This window comes from Homo sapiens, chromosome 13 (assembly GCF_000001405.40).
Source record: "Homo sapiens chromosome 13, GRCh38.p14 Primary Assembly".
Classification (NCBI taxonomy): Eukaryota; Metazoa; Chordata; class Mammalia; order Primates; family Hominidae; genus Homo; species Homo sapiens.
The window spans coordinates 43,230,173-43,248,915 of record NC_000013.11 but is presented as its reverse complement, the minus strand read 5'-3'; the positions used below and the strand labels follow the sequence as shown (position 1 = coordinate 43,248,915).

At 40.9% G+C, this 18,743-nt stretch overlaps 1 protein-coding gene across 27 annotated transcripts in view; it reads left to right on the top strand.

Annotated features, from left to right (window-relative positions):
• The window catches only part of ENOX1 (ecto-NOX disulfide-thiol exchanger 1), a 573,843-nt gene that overhangs the window by 538,057 nt on the left and 17,043 nt on the right, over positions 1-18,743 (top strand). For all 27 annotated transcript variants that reach the window (NM_001347965.2, NM_001347963.2, NM_001347971.2 and 24 more), the window contains one exon: positions 12,178-12,280. In NM_001347965.2, the coding sequence (NP_001334894.1) occupies positions 12,178-12,280 (103 nt within the window). The remainder of the gene's footprint in view (positions 1-12,177; positions 12,281-18,743) is intronic.

The window sequence follows — 18,743 nt, the reverse complement described above, 5'->3', positions numbered from 1 at the left end:
TAATCCTATTTTTCAAATAAGAGTTAAACAACAATATATACATGTATGTGTATATGCAAACACATATATATGTTATATGTATGTGGGAGGGGGTTATATATAAACTATAAAAGGCAAATATCTGAATGTTAATAGCATTTATATCTTGGTAGTAGAATTTCAGTTAATTTTTAATCTTTACTTTGTATATTTTCTACAGTGAATACATATTTTTATTTGTAATGAGAAAACAAAGGTTATTACTAAGAAAGTCAACTAGAAAATATGTCTTATATTTTGGAAAAGAAAGAGAAAAGGTTATATATTTTGGAAAAGAAAGGAAAAAAGGTTATAAGCTTATGGTTTGGTCTCCAAAAAAATTAAAAGTTAATACTTAAAACATTGAAAGCATTGATAATAGATACAAATGAAAAATTAACTTCCTTACCTCCTTCAGCCTACGAGATTAAAGAAATTGTGTTATTTTAAAATGATACTACAATAAATGTATTTAGGGACCAAAAGGCTGTAAAATGTCCAAAGCGATTGCATAGTTTTTTTCACTATCCACCATACATATATATTCCTCATAGACTTCTAGCTGACTCCAGGCCCAGGGTACTGACCAAACCCTTATGATGGCCAGTCATTTTCACCCATGAGGTCTGGCCTGTCTATGTAGTAACAAATTCATTTGATGTAATATTAGAGGGTCTACTATTTATATTTTTTCTTTTAAAAATATAAGTTGCGGCCGGGCGCGGTGGCTCACGCCTGTAATCCCAGCACTTTGGGAGGCCGAGGCGGGCGGATCACGAGGTCAGGAGATCGAGACCATCCCGGCTAACACGGTGAAACCCCGTCTCTACTAAAAATACAAAAAATTAGACAGGCGTAGTGGCGGGCGCCTGTAGTCCCAGGTACTTGGGAGGCTGAGGCAGGAGAATGGCGTGAACCCGGGAGGCGGAGCTTGCAGTGAGCCGAGATCCCGCCACTGCACTCCAGCCTGGGCGACAGAGCGAGACTCCGTCTCAAAAAAAAAAAAAAAAAAAATATATATATATATATATATATATATATATATATATATATATATATATATATATATGTTGCATCTGTGTACAGAGCACTGTGCCAGGTACTGAGGACACTGTTGCTCTGTAGAGATTATAGGTACAGTCATCACATAAAATTCAAACAGATGTCTTTGAGGGTGAAAGGCAGCACTGTTGCTACTTCTGTGGGGACAACAGGTGCACTGGGACCGTGCAAGAGGCTGGAAAGGGGTATTCCCAGCCTGAATGCCACGGTAGATATAACCAAATGAAAAAATACACTTGATCTCAAAAATAGCTGTTTCTCTTCAGTATGTAGAAAATGTAACTCACACTGCTATAGCTACTCAAGTCCACGCCCTTCACAGCCTGAAGTACTACCATGAAAAATCTCCTGACGCTTCCATTGTGCAGACCTTGACCATGGAAGGCTGCTGGGAAAGGGCACAGGTGGTGAGAGCTCATCACCCTCATCTTCCCTATTTCCAGCTGCCTTTCTAAGACCTCAGCTCCAATATTTTAAAATATTAGAGACAATACTTTTTTATTTATGTATTTATTTATTTTTTGAGATGGAGTCTCACTCTGTTGCCCAGGTTGGAGTGCAGTGGTGTGATCTCGGCTCACTGCAACCTCCACCTCCTGGGTTCAATCAGTTCTGCCTCAGCTTCCCAAGTAGCTGGGATTACAGGCGCATGCTGCCATGCCTGGCTAATTTTTATATTTTTAGTAGAGACGGGGTTTCAACGTATTGGTCAGGCTGGTCTCCTGACATCAAGTGATCCACTTGCCTTGGCCTCCCAAAGTGCTGGGATTACAGGTGCAAGCCACCGCACCCAGCCTAGAGGCAATACTTCTAATTCTTCGTGATCTCTGATTCTGGTATCAATATTCTGCTAGCTGTGTAGACCTGACTTGTTTAAATGATTTTAGCTCGCCCCTCTCTGCTTCACACATAGAATCTTTCCATTCTTCCTTCAGAATGGCTTCTTTCCATTCCTTCCGAATGGCTTCTCTATCCACCTTTTCTTTCTCTTCCTGTCACCTCTGTGGTTCCACCTTATTGCCACATCCTTGGGGTGTGGCTGGAGAAGCACCTGGGGCCTCCTTGCCTGAGCCTCTCCACCTGCCCAGCCAATCCTGCATGTGGCCCAACCACAGTCTTTTGGAGTGCTCCTCTGACCTTGGCCTTCCCCTACCCACATCCTTCAAATCAAGAGAGCATGTGTCCCACCTCTTCTTCTTCATTGGCCCCAGCACTCTGCCTTTGAAATCCCTCCCTGTTGCAGACTGTGGTTAAAAGTCACACTAAAGAAGTCCGTCACCCGCAAACAGCAGCAGCCAGCCAGCCCCCTCAGTCCCTGCTAATGCTGCTCCTCAGCCAGCCCGTGGGTGGCTTCCTCCCTGCTCCCCTTTCCTTTCATGTTTATGCAAGAACCACAGCTCACCAGGCCTGCCTGGAGCCTGGCTGGCTCCTGAGTGAGCTAGGACTATAGGCAGCCCTCAGGAGGGATTTGGTCACAGAGCGCCACAGGCACTCAATATCCACGCAACCGGCAACCTAGTGTAGTGGTTAGGACTCTGGAGCAAGACAGCATTGGTTCAGATCCTGAGTCTGCTTCTTACTAGTTTTGTGACCTTGGGCAAGTCATTAGCCTCATTATTCTTCATTTTCTTAACCTGTAAATTAAGAATGTAATAGCCTGACTTCGAAGAGCACTTATGACAATTGAGTTTATATTTGTCAAGTGCTTATAACACTTCCTGCATATAGTAAGTACTGTACAGATGTTTGTTAAATAAATATAACCAAAGATGACCTAGAAAGAAGGCCACCAGGATAAATGCTGTATCTGGATATCTCTGGCAGTAAACTACACTGAGTTTTTATCTTTCTTTAAAGGGTCCTTCGTGTGAGCCGTAACTAGTTCTCGCCTATTTTAATCTTTGCAATTGGAAATCTTAGAAAACACGGTTCTTGGAGTTGTCTAAAGACATAATGTATGTGCTTCCGATCCGGCAATTGAACCCCAATAAGGTGGAACATCTCAGAATGTAAAATATGGTCACATCATGATGAATCACTGCATCTTGGAGCCCCACACATCTGCTTTCAGATTATCTCTCTGATGCTGAAAACTATTGGGCCTCTGAGGCTCCCCTTATACAGACCTTGACCATCAAAGGCTGCTGGGAAAGGGCAGAGGTGGTGAGAGCCCACGACCCTCGGGATGGGCAGTGCCAAGATTTCACAACTGATTAGATCAGCAAGGCCTTGGGATTGCTGCCCCACAGGAAATTCCTGCGATCCTGCTCACTATTGGGGGATGGATGCATTCTTATGTTCCCATAAGAAACCATAAAAAATTCTAAAGCTTAGTCACTCATGCTCATCAATCCTTTCCTCATCCATTTGGTTTTTTATTGTTTTTCTCACTCTGCTTCCTCTTTCCTCTCTAATTCTTACTGGCATCAGAAATAAAGGATAAGTTTATATGGTCTGTACCAAGCTGGCTACCTGAATCTGAAGGGAAGGTCCAAGTCAGGGAAAAGGGCACAGAGCAGGCATGGAATCAGGGAGCAGGAAGACACTGTGGAGGTCATCCACTTCAATCCTGTCTTTGTACAAACAGCAAAAATGAAACAAAGAAACACAGCAGGCCAGCGGCAAATAGAACCAGTGTCTTCTATGTCCAAATCATCATGTTTTCAATATTCCAGGCCATTGTTTGAGGCTCATTCTTTCATTTATCAGCCACTGGGCACCTGCTATGTGCCCATAAAGGAAAGTGTGAAGGGATATCTCCATTCTCCATCCTCCCCCAACCACAGTTCTAATCATATAAGGAATAATTTGAAGGTTATTGGCAACTGGCACATCATTTGATGGATTGCTTTTGAAACTTTGCAAAATGTGAGTAAAGGATAAGAATGTAGCTGATACACATCTTGACAATTATCTATAGGGCCCCCGATTTCATGAAGTGTGATGTTTAAGAGTAGGGCCTATGAGCAATTAGCAGAACTGAGCCAACAGCACAAGAAGGCCATGGAACAAGCAGGCAGGGAAGGAAAACGAGCCTTGTGGTATGCTGCTGGCAGAGTCCGGGGTGACATGGAGAATCTTTACCACATAGATCTTGTCGACTGTCCCACTCATCTTGCACTAGCAGCTATGGAGGCCGCCAGCCCTTGGAGGGTCATAGGGGAAGTCACATGGCGGTGGTTTCTCTATTTAGGGTGTGGGTGATGTCACTCAGTATGTTACTTAATTAAGTATTCAGCAACTGGCTGTCCTTACCTATAGCTCTTCAAAACAACAACTGTATATCATTGGTTTCTTTTTCTTTCTTTACTTATAAGGATAATAACAACAACACTGACAGAAAAATAGAGAAAATAGAAAATATCCACTATTTTTGAATACAACCACAGTTATTTTTGCATAAATATTTTTATATAATTGTAGTCAAAGTCTTATACAGAATTGTTGCATGGATTCAGTACCCCAAGTATATATTAACACTTGTTCCATATCCAATCAATCCTGTGAATCATAAAAGTGAGTAATGGTTGTAATAATCATGCCACAATCTATTCCTAGAAATTTATAGTTTTTGAAAGCGCTGTCTCACTTATATTTGGTCCTCACAGCAACCATGGGGAAGAGGCACATGGTATTATCCATGTTTTTCATTAAAGAAAGTTAAGGCTTAGAGAAATGCCCTGCCTAAAGTTATCTAGTATGTAAATAATGTGACAGATTTAGAACACAGCTTCCATTCGGCCATTCTGCCTCACTTGCTTAGATGTGATTACTGTCTAAAGAAGGCAGTGGTTTTGTGGAGGAAACAAATAGGTGAAATGTGATGTATAAGTGATGAACTGCCATATAAGTGGCGTAGGAAATGTGTGCAGATAAGGAAGCCTTGCAAGTGGCCTGAAACAGATGCCTCTGGGAGATACAGGACTTGTGCTGTGTGTAAAATGTAAGTAGGAAGTGGCAAGGCAAGGAGGAGAGAGCTTTCCAAGAGCATTTCTGGACATAGCATAGAAAGAAGATATGCTAGTTTGATAGGAGTAAGCCCAAAATGCCAAGCAGCAGCATCTGACTTTTTCCTGTAGGTTATCAGAAAGCATCTGAAGTTTTAACCAGAGATAGATGAGATAAAAGTCACATATTAGAAAATTGACCTGGTGGTATTATGTAAGATAGACTGGAAGAGGAAGAGCCTAGAGGCAGAGACAAAGTAGGAGGTTCCTGCAGCGGTTAAAATGGTCAAGGTGTGAAATCTGCCAGGTGCAGTGGCTCATGCCTGTAATCCCAGTGCTTTGGGAAGCTGAGGCAAGAGGATCGCTTCAGGCCAGGAGTTCAAGACCAGCCTGCTCAACATAGTGAGACCGCATCCCTAAAACAAAGTATGAAACACGTAGAACCGAGAGTAGAGCACTAGTGGAAATGGGAATGCAGCAGGAGAGACATCTCACAGACACTTGAGAGAATTTGGATTTAGAGACATCTTAAAAGCACTTAGGGGATAGTAGAGAATGAATCAAAGACAAAATGAGGGTTTGAGCGCCAGCAAGTGGAAGAATGATGCTGACTTTAATAAAAACAGAAAAGTTAGAAGAGGATGCAGTTTGACGAGTGAGATGAACTGGGTTTTAGTCATAAAATTATAGAATTTTAGAAAATTACATTAGGAAGGACCTGGACTCAGATTTTTTTTTTTTTTTTTTTTTTTTGAGACAGAGTCTCACTCTGTTGCCCAGGCTGGAGTGCAGTGGTGCAAACTCAGCTCACTGCAACCTCCACCTTCCGGGTTCAAGCAATTCTCCTGTCTCAGCCTCCCAAGTAGCTGGGACTACAGACATGCACTACCACGCTCGGCTAATTTTTGTATGGTCAGTAGAGACAGGGTTTCGCCATGTTGGCCAGGCTGGTCTTGACCTCCTGACTTCAAGTGATCCACCTGCCTCAGTCTCCCAAAGTGCTGGGATTACAGGCTTGAGCCACTGCACCCGGCCTAAGGACATTTCTTTAAATGAAGCTTTACATAGGAGCCCTGTATCATTAAGCAAAAGAAAGGAGTGAAAGAGTAGAATTCCAGAGATGTGTCCCCTTGGACCATCCATGTCACCTCTATAAAGCTAATGAGGTTCCATCAAGTACTATTCAAAGATGATTGGCCCTACCCAGCCCCTCATTTTTAGACAAGTGATCTGGGTCTTGAAGATGTTGAGTAATTTGCCAAGGTCACCTGGCTGCTGGAGGAAGAGCCAAGGCTGAAACCCAAGTATTTAGTGTCTCTTCCACTGCCTCATGGCCACCTCTCATTCTGAATTTGAACTGGGCATTGGTAAATTCAGGCAGACAAGCCCAGTGGTCAGTTGGTGGTAAAGAACAGAAGCTTAAAGAATTAAGATTGATCATAGCTGAACCCACGAGAATGAAAGAAAGGGAACAGGTAAGAAAAATTGGGGAGCACACTTTGGCAAGGGCCAAAGCTAGAGAAGAGGAGGAAGAGAGTAGCCTCTTCTTTACATTCACTGGGCCAGCAGAGGAAACAAAAAAGCCAGTGAAGACTAAACAGGAAATTAAGAGGAAAAAGACCAGGACCTCCTGTGTAGCAGATGTGAGGCAGATGGTTTAAGAGGGGCCAATGTCAAGGGTGTCAAATATCACATGGTAAGAGGACTGGGAAAATAATCATTTGGCAAGAAGAGGGTCACTGGAAATATCTCAGAGTAGATTTGTTGGAGTGACTGATGAAAAAGCTGAGATTTCAGATGATGAGGCAGTAGACACAGGTGGACAACATGTATTCAAGAAGCTTTGCAACAGAAAGAAAACAGCCCTAAAGGTAAGGAAGCCACAGGAATAATTAAGTGAAAGCAGTAGCAGAAGGATTTTATAAGGCAGGGAAGCCATTTTCTTGGTCCTTAGGGGCTTGGGTAGGTGGAGAGAAACAAAAACAAAATAACAAAGCATGATTCTAGCTCAATAAGCTATTGAAAAAGAGCTCCTCTAAATGATAAATTACTTTGATCATTTCTCAAAGTAAGTGATGAGGACTCTTAGAAGGGAAATTTCTGCCTTCAAGTAGCTAACTCTTTAAGAAGTCTTTTAAAAAGTCTGTGACATCTAGTTTCCAGTTACTGAAAACCTCTTCTCCAGCCCTTTAATGATTCCTTCTACGTATCACAGAAATTAGAGTTAAAAGGTAGGCTGAGAAAAGATTTATTAGGTAATCTCCAATCTCATGTCAAGTGCAGAATTGTTAGCTGCAGTGCATTTTCTAGTCTGGTGTGCTTTTACTGTGTTCTTCCCACTTCCTTTGGGAGACTACTTCATAATCCAATAGATCTCACTGAGAGGAAACTCTTGATCTCCATCCTAATGTTCCCGTCCCGCTGTGTACTTTGTATACCACTAACAATTCATACATAGTAACCTTCCTCACCTCCCACTCCATCCCCACTCACTCACTTCTACTTTGTAATTGCTAGGCATCTGGAACCTCTTTTCTGGAATATCTGGTAGACTCATCATTCTTCTGGGCATGTTGCATCTATCAGGCTAAAGGATTTTAAGGTGATAAAAGGATAAAGGGTCTTCATAACTTTATGTTTCTAATGATAAAACTTTCCCATTCTGATAAGGTCCTTTCCATTCTCTAGAGATTTGGGGTGGAGAGAGTAATAAGGACCATGAACTTTTTAAGAAAGGAGCAAAACCATGTGTAATTTATGATTCAATGTCCTTATGTGTTCCCCAATTACTAAAAAGATAAGTTGGAATGTCCTGTGTAGAGAATATGAAATCCCACTGAGAGACTGTTCCCAGAAGAATTTTGGCTTCACCAGTCTACTCTCATGGATCTTATAACCTCAGTATCTCCGTAGAGGGGTCCAGAAGGATGCCAGCACATGCAGTGGTTTGTGTTACAAGATAGAAACACTGAGCTTAGGAATCTACCTTTTTTATATCAAGTGTAAGCAAGCCTGCTCTTTGTCCCACAAGAAAACATCAAGATTTCCTGCTGCAAACAAAACCAGAGAAAGGCCCCATAAAAAGAGCTGTCAGAGCCTTGCTTCTAAGTTCAGAAACGTGCACATCCTACTTCCTGGCTAATCCTACTTCCTCCAAAATATTTTGACAAGATGCTATAGAAACCTTAAGTTGAACATTTCCAAAACTGAACACACAATCTTCTCCCAGACTAGCTTCTTTCTCCATTTGCCTATTCACTGAGCCACCTACTTGTTCTCAATATTTTCATCAGCCACCAGGTCACCAGATTTTTTTTTTTAGTTCCACCTCTTAAATGCTGTTTGCACTCTGCATGGGTTTTGACTGTCATCATCAAAAGGCAAAAATGGATACATTTTTGCAGTAGGCTGACTCCAGTTTCATTTGCCTCCAAACCAATGTCCTAAAATGCAGAACTGAAAACTCTTCACTTGTTAAGCCTCCCAGATAAAATCTACACTTCTTACCATGATCTACCTACTTCTCCAGCTTCATCTTCTCATATTTCTTTCTTTTAGACCTTTTATAAGAATTGCTTGCTGGTCCCTGGGTAAGCTTGCACTTCTGATCAGTTTGAATGCCATATCCTTAAAAACTTAGAACTTCTTGGCATATAGTAGGCATGTGATGTATATATGTAGCAGAAATATTTATTTGGTGGCTGAAAGTAAAAACAGGCTTAGCTTAAGTGCAACAGGGAATTGGTTTGGGAATTAATTAATTCCACATTCTCTCTGTGTATTCCCTTCGCCTTAACCAATCATGATGATGGAGCTCTTTTGACAAATGTGATAACTTAGATTTCTAGACATTAAATAAAAACAAAGAGAGAGGGTACAGTTGTTGCTTATATCTACTTTGTAGACTACCCCATACTTGGAGATTATCGATAATTGTCCTTATCTTGTTCAACTGAACAATACCAATATAAATACAGACAAATCAAATTAACCTTATTTTTCTAAGGAACCCATGATTAGTGAGTCATTAAAACAAAACTCTCCTTTTCTAATAATTGGAAAAGGTAAAACTACAACATATAATGTGGCTGTCTAAAATCACTATCCTGTCTTCTATCCCTTGAAACACAGCTATATTAACTTTAACTGTTCTCTTTGGCAAAATGGATGACATAAGCATTCACCCATCTAATTAGCTCTGTGACTTTGTCAGCAAGAGCCTGAGCTTATACCATGCCCAAGGCAGGCTTAGCATCTGGAGCTTAGTCAGTAGTGACTCTTTTGAGTGGTCACAAGTTGGTCCACTTCACTCAATGCTATGCTATAGACTATTTAATATGCTTGGACACACCCTTGACTCTAATGGAAATGATGTTTTCCCTTTTGGAGATTCTTGAGGCCAGTTTATTATAAGATGCAAGCAAGCATTCCTTGGAGCCTGCCTGATCAGCTTCAATGATACTGTACCACTTCCAGCATAGTTCTTCTGCCTCCTAGAGGAGTCAGAAAAACAGCTCCATCTCCAACCTGGACAAAACTCACAGATGTCCCCAAAAGCTGAGATGTCTGCCAAGCCTTAGGTGTCCATCAAGCCAAGGCCTGCTGGACTGTTGTGGGAGCCATGCAGAGAGATGTGTCCACTCCAGTCACTGGCCATGACTGCATGAGAACACACCATTTGTGGTCAGCAGAGCACACACTCCAGTATCCAATCTCAAGAAATACTTCCACAGAATGGTGACCCTAAGACTCTTATCTCTCCATACTAATTTTTTCAACCCTAAAACATCACCAAAGCAAGAGTCACTGGGTCTTATCTGGCTCCTTGTAGACATTGTTGATGCAGCAGTATTTCTTTGAACCTTGCTCAGAGTCCCCCTTTCTATGTGACTCCACTTTTGGACCTGGGGAGAAAACAGCATTCTCAGGTGGTCTGTCTGTTCCACCCTTGCCTTTCTCTGCTGGCTCCTGACATCTGCCTGCCCTCTACAGTCCATTTCCCTCAATGAACCTGGATCTTCAACTGTGTGATGGCCCCAGGACACCACTCAGTCTTGGCAATTAATGTGGGCCTGTTATCTGCTAAACTCATTCTGAATAATTTCATTTGGCCCCAATTATCATCCAGGCTGTGAACAGATCACCCTCTCTTGGAGATATTATTTCCACTCAGCTCCAGGGTTCATTTTTTGTATTTTTTTAATGATGCAATCATTATCCTAGTTAATGTTCTTCCATCCACTTTCTTCCTACACCTCTCTTGGGAGACCTTACAAAGCTTCAGCTTGCGTCTGCTCAACAATCTTAACCTCCCAGGCCTGGAAGTCCATCTGCCATGTCCCTGTGGGACCTATTTGTCCTTAGGGCATACAACTAACAGAATTCAGCAGGCCCATTGACCCCACTACCCTAGAAAGATGATGTGTACACACAGACCTGCTCTGTTCCAATGGAGAAAGTGCCTAATCAGCCTAATCGGAAAGTACCAAATGTTATTTTATCATAGCAGGAATTTCTATTTCCTTTCCTGCAATTCCTCTTTATAAATGTTCTAATCCCATCTACATAATAAGCCTTTGGATTTGTTCTATTTTAAAATTCTTCATTGTGTTTCCATTGAGGCTTGCTCCCAAGATCCTGTTTTTGATTTGTAAGAGCATCTTTCATCTCTAGTAACCTTTGATGTACAGCTGGCTCCAGACTTAGCTTAGACCACTCCCCAAACTCTTTCTGACTCCTGTCCTTATTGGGATTTTCCTACCATCAGCCTGAGGCCTGTTATACCCTCTAGCCAACCAAGTTCTTCCCTGTGATATATCATCACATCACTGTGATTTTCTCAATTCTTTACCTTATCCATTTTCATTTCTCATTCAGTCTTCATCACTTGGTCTTCAGCAAATAAGTGGGACCTTAAGTGGAGCCTCTAAAATGCTTATCAGATATTACCAACTGCAATTTCTCAGTAGAGCCTTCTTTCATGGCAATTTCTAATTACCCCTGGATTACAAAGTGGTAGCTCATAAGTTAAATTAAGCTCAAAGATCTGTTTTGATGGCATGTGCTGGGTTTATTTTTCTTTGAATGCCTTCGGGTGTGGTTTTCACTTTTTGCAGGCTCGGCATGCTCCCAATACTTCCTGTACTCTTGGATCTGACCAGTTTTGTTACTTTGTACTAACTATCTAAATATCTCTCCTATAACCACTTCCAGTTCTAGGGACACCTGTCAACACATTTGTTCAAACCTTCTGAATTCTTCGTCCATTCGGCTCTCCGTACCTGTTCTCTATCATCCCTGCAGGTTCCCCACCACTGCTCATATACTAGTCCTTCTTTGGAGCCATCTTTCAGTGAGCAACTTTCCTCCAGTAAGACTCAACTTCCCTAATGATTCTACTATCCCATATATGCAGGTCATCTATGCAGATCATTAATTTGACTTTCCATTAAATCACTCTCCATTTTGAGTCCTAATATCAAAAGTCTAGGATGATATGAGTTAAATCTTCATCTCTGTTTTTAAATGTAAAAGACTACAGAAAGAACTAAAAATAGTCCAGCCTCAATGTTTCACGTGTTATTGGCTTGTTGTACAACTCTTCATTTTTAGTTTTCAAAAAAAAGAATTTACCAAGCTTTGCTTTATCTGCCTCTTGCATTTATTCATGAGGATCCATACCTACTCAATTTAAAAACACTTCTAACAATTCTATCTTAGCTCCCCAATAGGCCCTATTTCTCCACACACTCAGAAATTTTTAGCATGGTATTATAAATCAGTTTCCTGTATGCTTTCCCAAAGATTATTCATCTTTGAAATAAAACATGTTAAAGTAGCTATAATCAAACACAGTTTTAATGAACAGAGTTTAATGAAAACATGGACAAAAATCTAAGATAACTTGTGCCAAATTTGCCACTTGTGCAGAGAATTACTTGGTATGCGGGGAGCAGTACCTAGGAGCCTAACTTTACATAATTACTTTTCTACTCTTGGGCAAATAGATCAATTGTATAAAAGATTTGATCTTTAGTTATAAATAGAAGTGATGACCTTATTTATAGAGTTTAAGAGATCTGGTGTTTTTTATTGACATGCACAGAATCTACATAAACCCATATATGGTTTTTGGCTTTTAACTTTATAGGAAATCAATGTGTTGACAGTTGCATTAGTCAACCAAGACCGAGAGAACAATATTGAGAAAAGAAGCCAAGGCTTAAAATCAGAGAAAGAAGCTCTGCTAATAGGTAAGGAAATTCTGTTTTCTTCATCTGTTCTCTTAAATAATTATTAGGTAATTAACTTAATATTTTAGTTATTAACTTATTAATTTAAACAGCATTGCCTTCTGGTAAAAGGTGAGATTAATTTCATCAAGATTATATTACATACATTTCAAATTAGTGGCATACAAACTAATGGGGGTTTTGCCTTTCTGTAACTGTATATATTAACTGATTGTCAGACATGAAACTGAGTTCAAGAATACGCTAAGTTGCATCTCACATGTTACAAATCTGAATTTCAAAGCTTGGGCATGTCACTTCCAACTGGAGGCCAGGTTGCATCTAGTTCCAAACCAAGCCATATCCCCAGGCTCAAGAGCAGCTTTGAACCCTGAGATTAAACTCTAAGCCCCTTAGCAGAGGCCACATCCTAAAGTCACTCCCAAGGCTAGACCTGCAATGCTGACAAATAGGGCCATGCAGGGTACTGATGCTAGGCTAATCCAGGACAATCGGCTTCAGGCTTCCCTGTCCAAGTATGGATCCTTTTGTCCAGGATGAACAAAAGAAGCATCCTCAGTGGATCCAGATGTCTTACTTATTTTCACGAGGAAGAATTCTTGATGAGGATGTGCCGGCAGTGTGCATGGAAGCCCATCTTAGATGCCTGTATGTTTAAGGCTGTCTTTGAAGCCCTCAAATTCAGAGGAAGGGAAGCCACCACCCTCATGCTGTGATGCACAGAACTGATTCAAGCTGCACCTTGGCACTGACCCCAGTGTGGGGTTGCCAGGTGAGACTGGCTCCATGGTGGCATGGTTAAGACTGAAGAATGAGGCCAATGTACATGCAAGACAAACTGTTCTTCAGCAGTTCATTATCTGGCAGAAATAGTGCCTGGTTGCATTTTTTTTTTTTTTTTTTTGAGACAGGGTCTCACTCTGTTGCCCAGGCTGGAGTGCAATGGCACAATCTCGGCTCACTGCAACCTCCTTCTGCCGGGTTCAAGTGATTCTCCTGCCTCAGCCTCTCTAGTGGCTGGGATTACAGGTGCACACCACCACGCCCAGCTAATTTTGTATTTTTAGTAGAGATGGGGTTTTGCCATGTTGGCCAGGCTGGTCTCAAACTCCTGACCTCAGGTGATCCACCTGCCTTGGCCTCTCAAAGTGCTGGGATTACAGGCATGAGCCACCGCGCCTGGTCCCTGGGTGCATTTTGTAAATACTGCATGTGCTCACCTAAAAATGACAGGTACAACAGGACCTAGAGAAGCTGGCACATGAGGAATTAAATTCAAAAGACAGTCCAGAGTCCATCCATCATATATAGATTTTTCAACTACAGGGTTATTGAATATGACATCAACTTAGAGATACTCCCAGGAAAACCAATTATTTTTTTTTTGCTCTGATGATATACAGCTGTAATAACATGCCATGCATGAGTCTCAGAAGACATGCTGATGTGCTATCAGTTCCAGGAACCCAAAACGAACCCATATGTAGTTGGTAACTGGATTTTTCTTCTATTGGAAAACATGTCCAAGTCTGACAACTGTTTCTCTGTCACTCAGTGTGACCAAGGTGTGATTTTTCCCTATAATGCTTTTAGGGTATGAACAAAGCAATTAATGATCTGCAGTAAACTTTTCCCTCTTTAAGTAGGAAGAATTCTGTCCACTTGAAGGTTAAAAAAATGGGAACCAGTCTCTATTTTTTTATTTCCTTCCTTTCACTAGAGATAGCTGCTTCTTTTATGTTTTAATTGGAGAACACAGTTCATTTAAAATGTTTTCTAAGTAGTTATTAGGTTTTATTTATATATGTATACACATACATGTACTTTTTTCAGTTGGCTACTTCAAATATTTTTAAATGATGTGCTTTATATGCAGTACATTAATGGGAGTAGGTAGGAAGATTACATTTATAACATGCTATGCCTGCTGATGTCTTTGGTATCACAAAAAACTATATAAAATTAGTTAAATCAAGTGTGTTAGAAAGAAAAATATTAGTCAGGATCTCCAATAAAAAGCATATACAACCAATTCTAAATTTTCCAAGACTTTTCCCCTCACTGTTGGTCTTTTGAACTAGTTTACTAATATTAGCATTTGAAGTTAGGAGTAGAGCAAAAGAGAAACAGGGGGTGACACTTATTTTGAATCAATATATGAGAACATTTAGGTAGAAGGGAGGCCAGAGACTTAAGTGATTAAAATAAACTTAGGAGTTTAACTTTCCCTTCAGTTATCCATTACCTTGCTACCTTTCTCAATATTTTATTTTATTATTCTTAATGACAGTTTGGCAACAGATGTGATTTCCTTGCCAAACCCACTTCCAAAACATCTATATACTTCTACTCTTTTGTATAATCCTCCAAAAGAGGATAATCCTCCAAAAGAATGCCACAATGGGAAAGAGTTTCCAAGACCAGCAAAATGGATCCTGCCAAAAGCTGCAGTTTCTGCCTGCCACTAAATGATCCTATCTACTCATTGAGTTTGGTCATTCATACTTTGTAGATACCTGAATCTTGCGTCCATAAAGAGCTCCCCTGAAGCTTCTGGAATCTAGATACAGACTGTGGTAGGGACAAAACTGCTCTGGATCAGAATAGAGAAAAAGGATTTCCTGGTGCTGGGGCTACACTTTTCTGAAGAATTCTCATGCACTGAATGATTCTAGGAGCCCTCTGGCCTTCTGGTACATCTGGAGCAGTCATAAATACTCTTTGCAATTCCCCCTGAAATCTTCCCTTGGAATAATTAAGTCAGTAGAGAGGACACAAAAGTCATGCTCTAGGCCAGCCTAGAAGGCCAAGGACACAGCAGAAAATCTCCCACAACTTGGAAACATTAATTGGCAAAATCTTCATCATATCTGCATGCTTATAGTGTATGCTGTATGCCAATATAGTCAGATGATCAGTGCCCTCTTGGGGCACATAAATGTTATATAAGAAACGCACACTGGCAGAAAGCATTCCCTGGAAGAGAAAGGGAGTGAGAAAAAAGCTCTTCAAATGGATTCCATCTACAGAAAGAATAAAACTGAGGCTAGAACTTCCTAAACAATGAGCAATTCTAGTTACATATAATTATTTGTGACACTGATTTATCTGGGCAAAAGGGTGTATTCTGCCCAGACATTCTTATGACTATTGTATAAAACTAGAGTCTTTATTTCAAGGCATAAAGTTGATATTTATTAGAGAGGATCCGTGGGATTTCATTGACATAATTTGGAATTTTGCAGATCTGGATCCTGAGTATTATTAGAGTTCGACCATTCTGATGGACTTTCTTCTTGACAATTAATGGGTCTTCCAATTCAACTAAAGAAGACAGGCCCCTGGAAAATACTTTATTTTTGTGATTTCTGGGTTATTCATTTTGTAATCAATTTTTGTGGAGACAGGTTGACATATAATTGGACCTTAGAGAATTCTGTTTTTATGGGGGCATTGCAGGGTAGCATTTTGTTTCATAATGCTATAGTAACCACACATAAGGTCAGCTTGACATTGCTCAATGTCTATGCCAGAACTAGTTTATTTCACATATGGCCTGCATGTTGGATTGGCATACACTGAAGTTGTTTGGGATAGAATGAGTCATTACTTTTGATTTGGGGCCAAAGTTTGGGAGCTGTGTTTGGCTGGATATTGTTATAAAGGAAAAATGGATCAAATTTTTTTTATTGACAAGCTAATAGTTCTGCAGAGAGCTGAGAGTATAACTCTCTGGGTCCGTATCACTCTATATTCTCTTGCTTTTTATAATAATTCCAACACAATAGATTTCAATCCCAGCAGCTCTGATTGACGCCCTGTTGATGCTAGTCATTGTAAATACTATCCAGATGTAGTCAAAAACTTCTCCACAACTTTTAACTGTAACAAAGCAGCTTTTCTCTAAAACCTCCCTGGTCCCCTGAGAACTGTCCTCAGGTTGACAATGATTGGGCAAACTTTCTTACATATCCTGAGTCCTCTGCAGATCAGGACATACACATCATTTCCATCACAGTCACCATCTCACACGTGCACAAAACCAGACTATACCAGAAGCAGAAGGCTCCTCCTAATGTGGGTATAAAGAAACAGCTGAGTAGAATATGGAAAAATATTTTTAAAGAAGGTTAAGCAATAATTTTTGGTGATTTCAGTGAATAAAGTTGAGGCTATATTTAGGCTGTACCTGAGAAAAGTAATCTTGGGAGTATGTTCCTCTCTGAAAACTACTGACCATAAAGAATGAGTCATTGACCTAAATCTTGTTTCCAAGGCACAAATGTCCATATCAATAAATCAACAAACATTTATCAAGAGCCTACGATAAGAATAATCCGTCTTCATTGTGGAAAAGAATTATCTAGGCAGCCTATTTATAAGGCAGAATCTTTAGCCCCACACACAGGTGTGGTGGCTCACGCCTATAATCCTAGCACCTTGGGAGGCCAAGGCAGGAGGATCACTTGAGCTCAGGAGTTCAAGACCAGCCTAGGCAATATAGTGAGACTCCCATCTCTACAAAAAAAAAAAAAAAAAAAAGTTAGCTGGGCATGGTGGCATGCACCTGTAGTCCCAACTACTTGGGGGGCTGAGGTGGAAGGATCTCTTGAGCCCACGAGCATCAGGCTGCAGTGAGCTGTGAGCAGCACCACTGCACAACTGCCTGGGTGATAGAGTGAGACCCTGTCAAAAAAGAAAAAAAAGAAAGTGATCCTGTTCATTGCAATACTAATATCTGAGAGGATGCTAAAGCAGGCATATCTGGTACTATGTTTTGAGAAACGCTGGCCTGATTTATGCTATCCCATGCATTAACTGATGGTGGAAAGATGATCTCCCCTCAAGAAGTTCATAGATAATGAGAAAGAATGCAGTTAATTACAATGAACTGTGGTTCGTAGTAAAATCAGAGACACAGAGAAGGAGCTACTTATGCTACAGATGCCTTGTCAGAAGAAAGGACAGCTGAGCTAGTCCTAAAGGATGAAGAGGTTTTCACTGGATGGATAAAGAAGTTGTTAAGGGCATTTCAGGTACCAGGAACAATTTACTACTAAGAGGTTCAAATACAGTCTGAGGGGTTTAATCGAAAAAATAAGACAGACAAATATTACAACACAAAACTAACTAACCAACCATACAAGATTAGGTTTTGTACTCACCAAGTAAGCGGAATAAACTTTTTTGGAAAATTAAAGCTTTTTGGAATCCCAAGGCACTGAGAAGCATCAGCCCAAACCACAAGTGTTTGATCGGTTTCCTACAGTTTCTCTCCACTTCCCATATACGCTTCATCACTCTGCAGCTGCCCACAGACAACTGTCCCCTCAGGGCTTACTAGGAGACCCAGATTTTGCATGGCTTTTTTTCCTGCTGATTCTCCAACATCCGTGGACCATTTATATGGGTGTCAACATGAAACAAGACTATTTCAGGCTGGTTTATGGTCAGGCCTCTGGTAATTCCCAGCAAGATGTGACTGTGTCTAGAGACACAGCTGTTCATCTGCAGAGCCAAGGTCTCTGGAAAGCCCCAAGGTGCTCCTCTATCCCAGTGAGCTGATGGGCCCCAGGGTCTTTTGAAGCTTCCTAGGAGACTATCAACCAGTGTAGGTGTAGAGAAAGCAAATCTCAGCCAGAACTTTAGAACCTGACACAGAGAGTTTGGAATGAAAACTCCAAGCAGCCTGGGGGTAGTGGGGAGTATATTCTGGCAATATTCCATTTCTCATTCCACTCAAAGAGAATAATGTGCTGACCAAACTGAATGCACAAAGTGATAGTTTATTCTCATCGGGTAACCAATATAATTAAACTATAACAGGGCTAACCCATCCCACTCCCATCTTTTGTATAAGGATGCAAAGGAGAAACCATAATACCTAATGATCTCTAAGCAGCCCTGAGCGGTGGGGGAGGGGGAGTGGTCCTAAATATTTGTGGATTGAGGCATTTCATCCACCGGGTAATCTAAGGCAAATCACTTATCCAAACCACTGTGGTAAGTGTGTAAGCCCTCATACTGCATAAAATTAGGAAGTTTGATTAGATGGTCCTTTTCAACTCAATTCTCTGTAATGTATGAGGACTATTATGAAAGCTGCATTACCCCTTAGTGATCTTGTATGTAAGTGGAGCATCATGTGCATCAATATATAAACATGAACTCTACTATCTTGTACCTTTGCAACAAACGAGAAGGAAAATCTGTCTTGACACCATGACCCCTTTCCAGCAACAGTCCATTTCCTGCCCCTGTCCAAAGCAGGATTCCTCCAACGCACTATGCTCACAGTCACCATTCCCTCCTCCCCTCTCTCTCCAGCCTCCTCCAGTCTGACTTGCATCCTCACACCAAAACCATTCTTTTCCACATCACCAGAGAATTTTATGTCACCAATTTCTCAACTCCCTCTACCTGGCAGCTACTTTACGTGGTTGACTACTCACATCTGGAAATA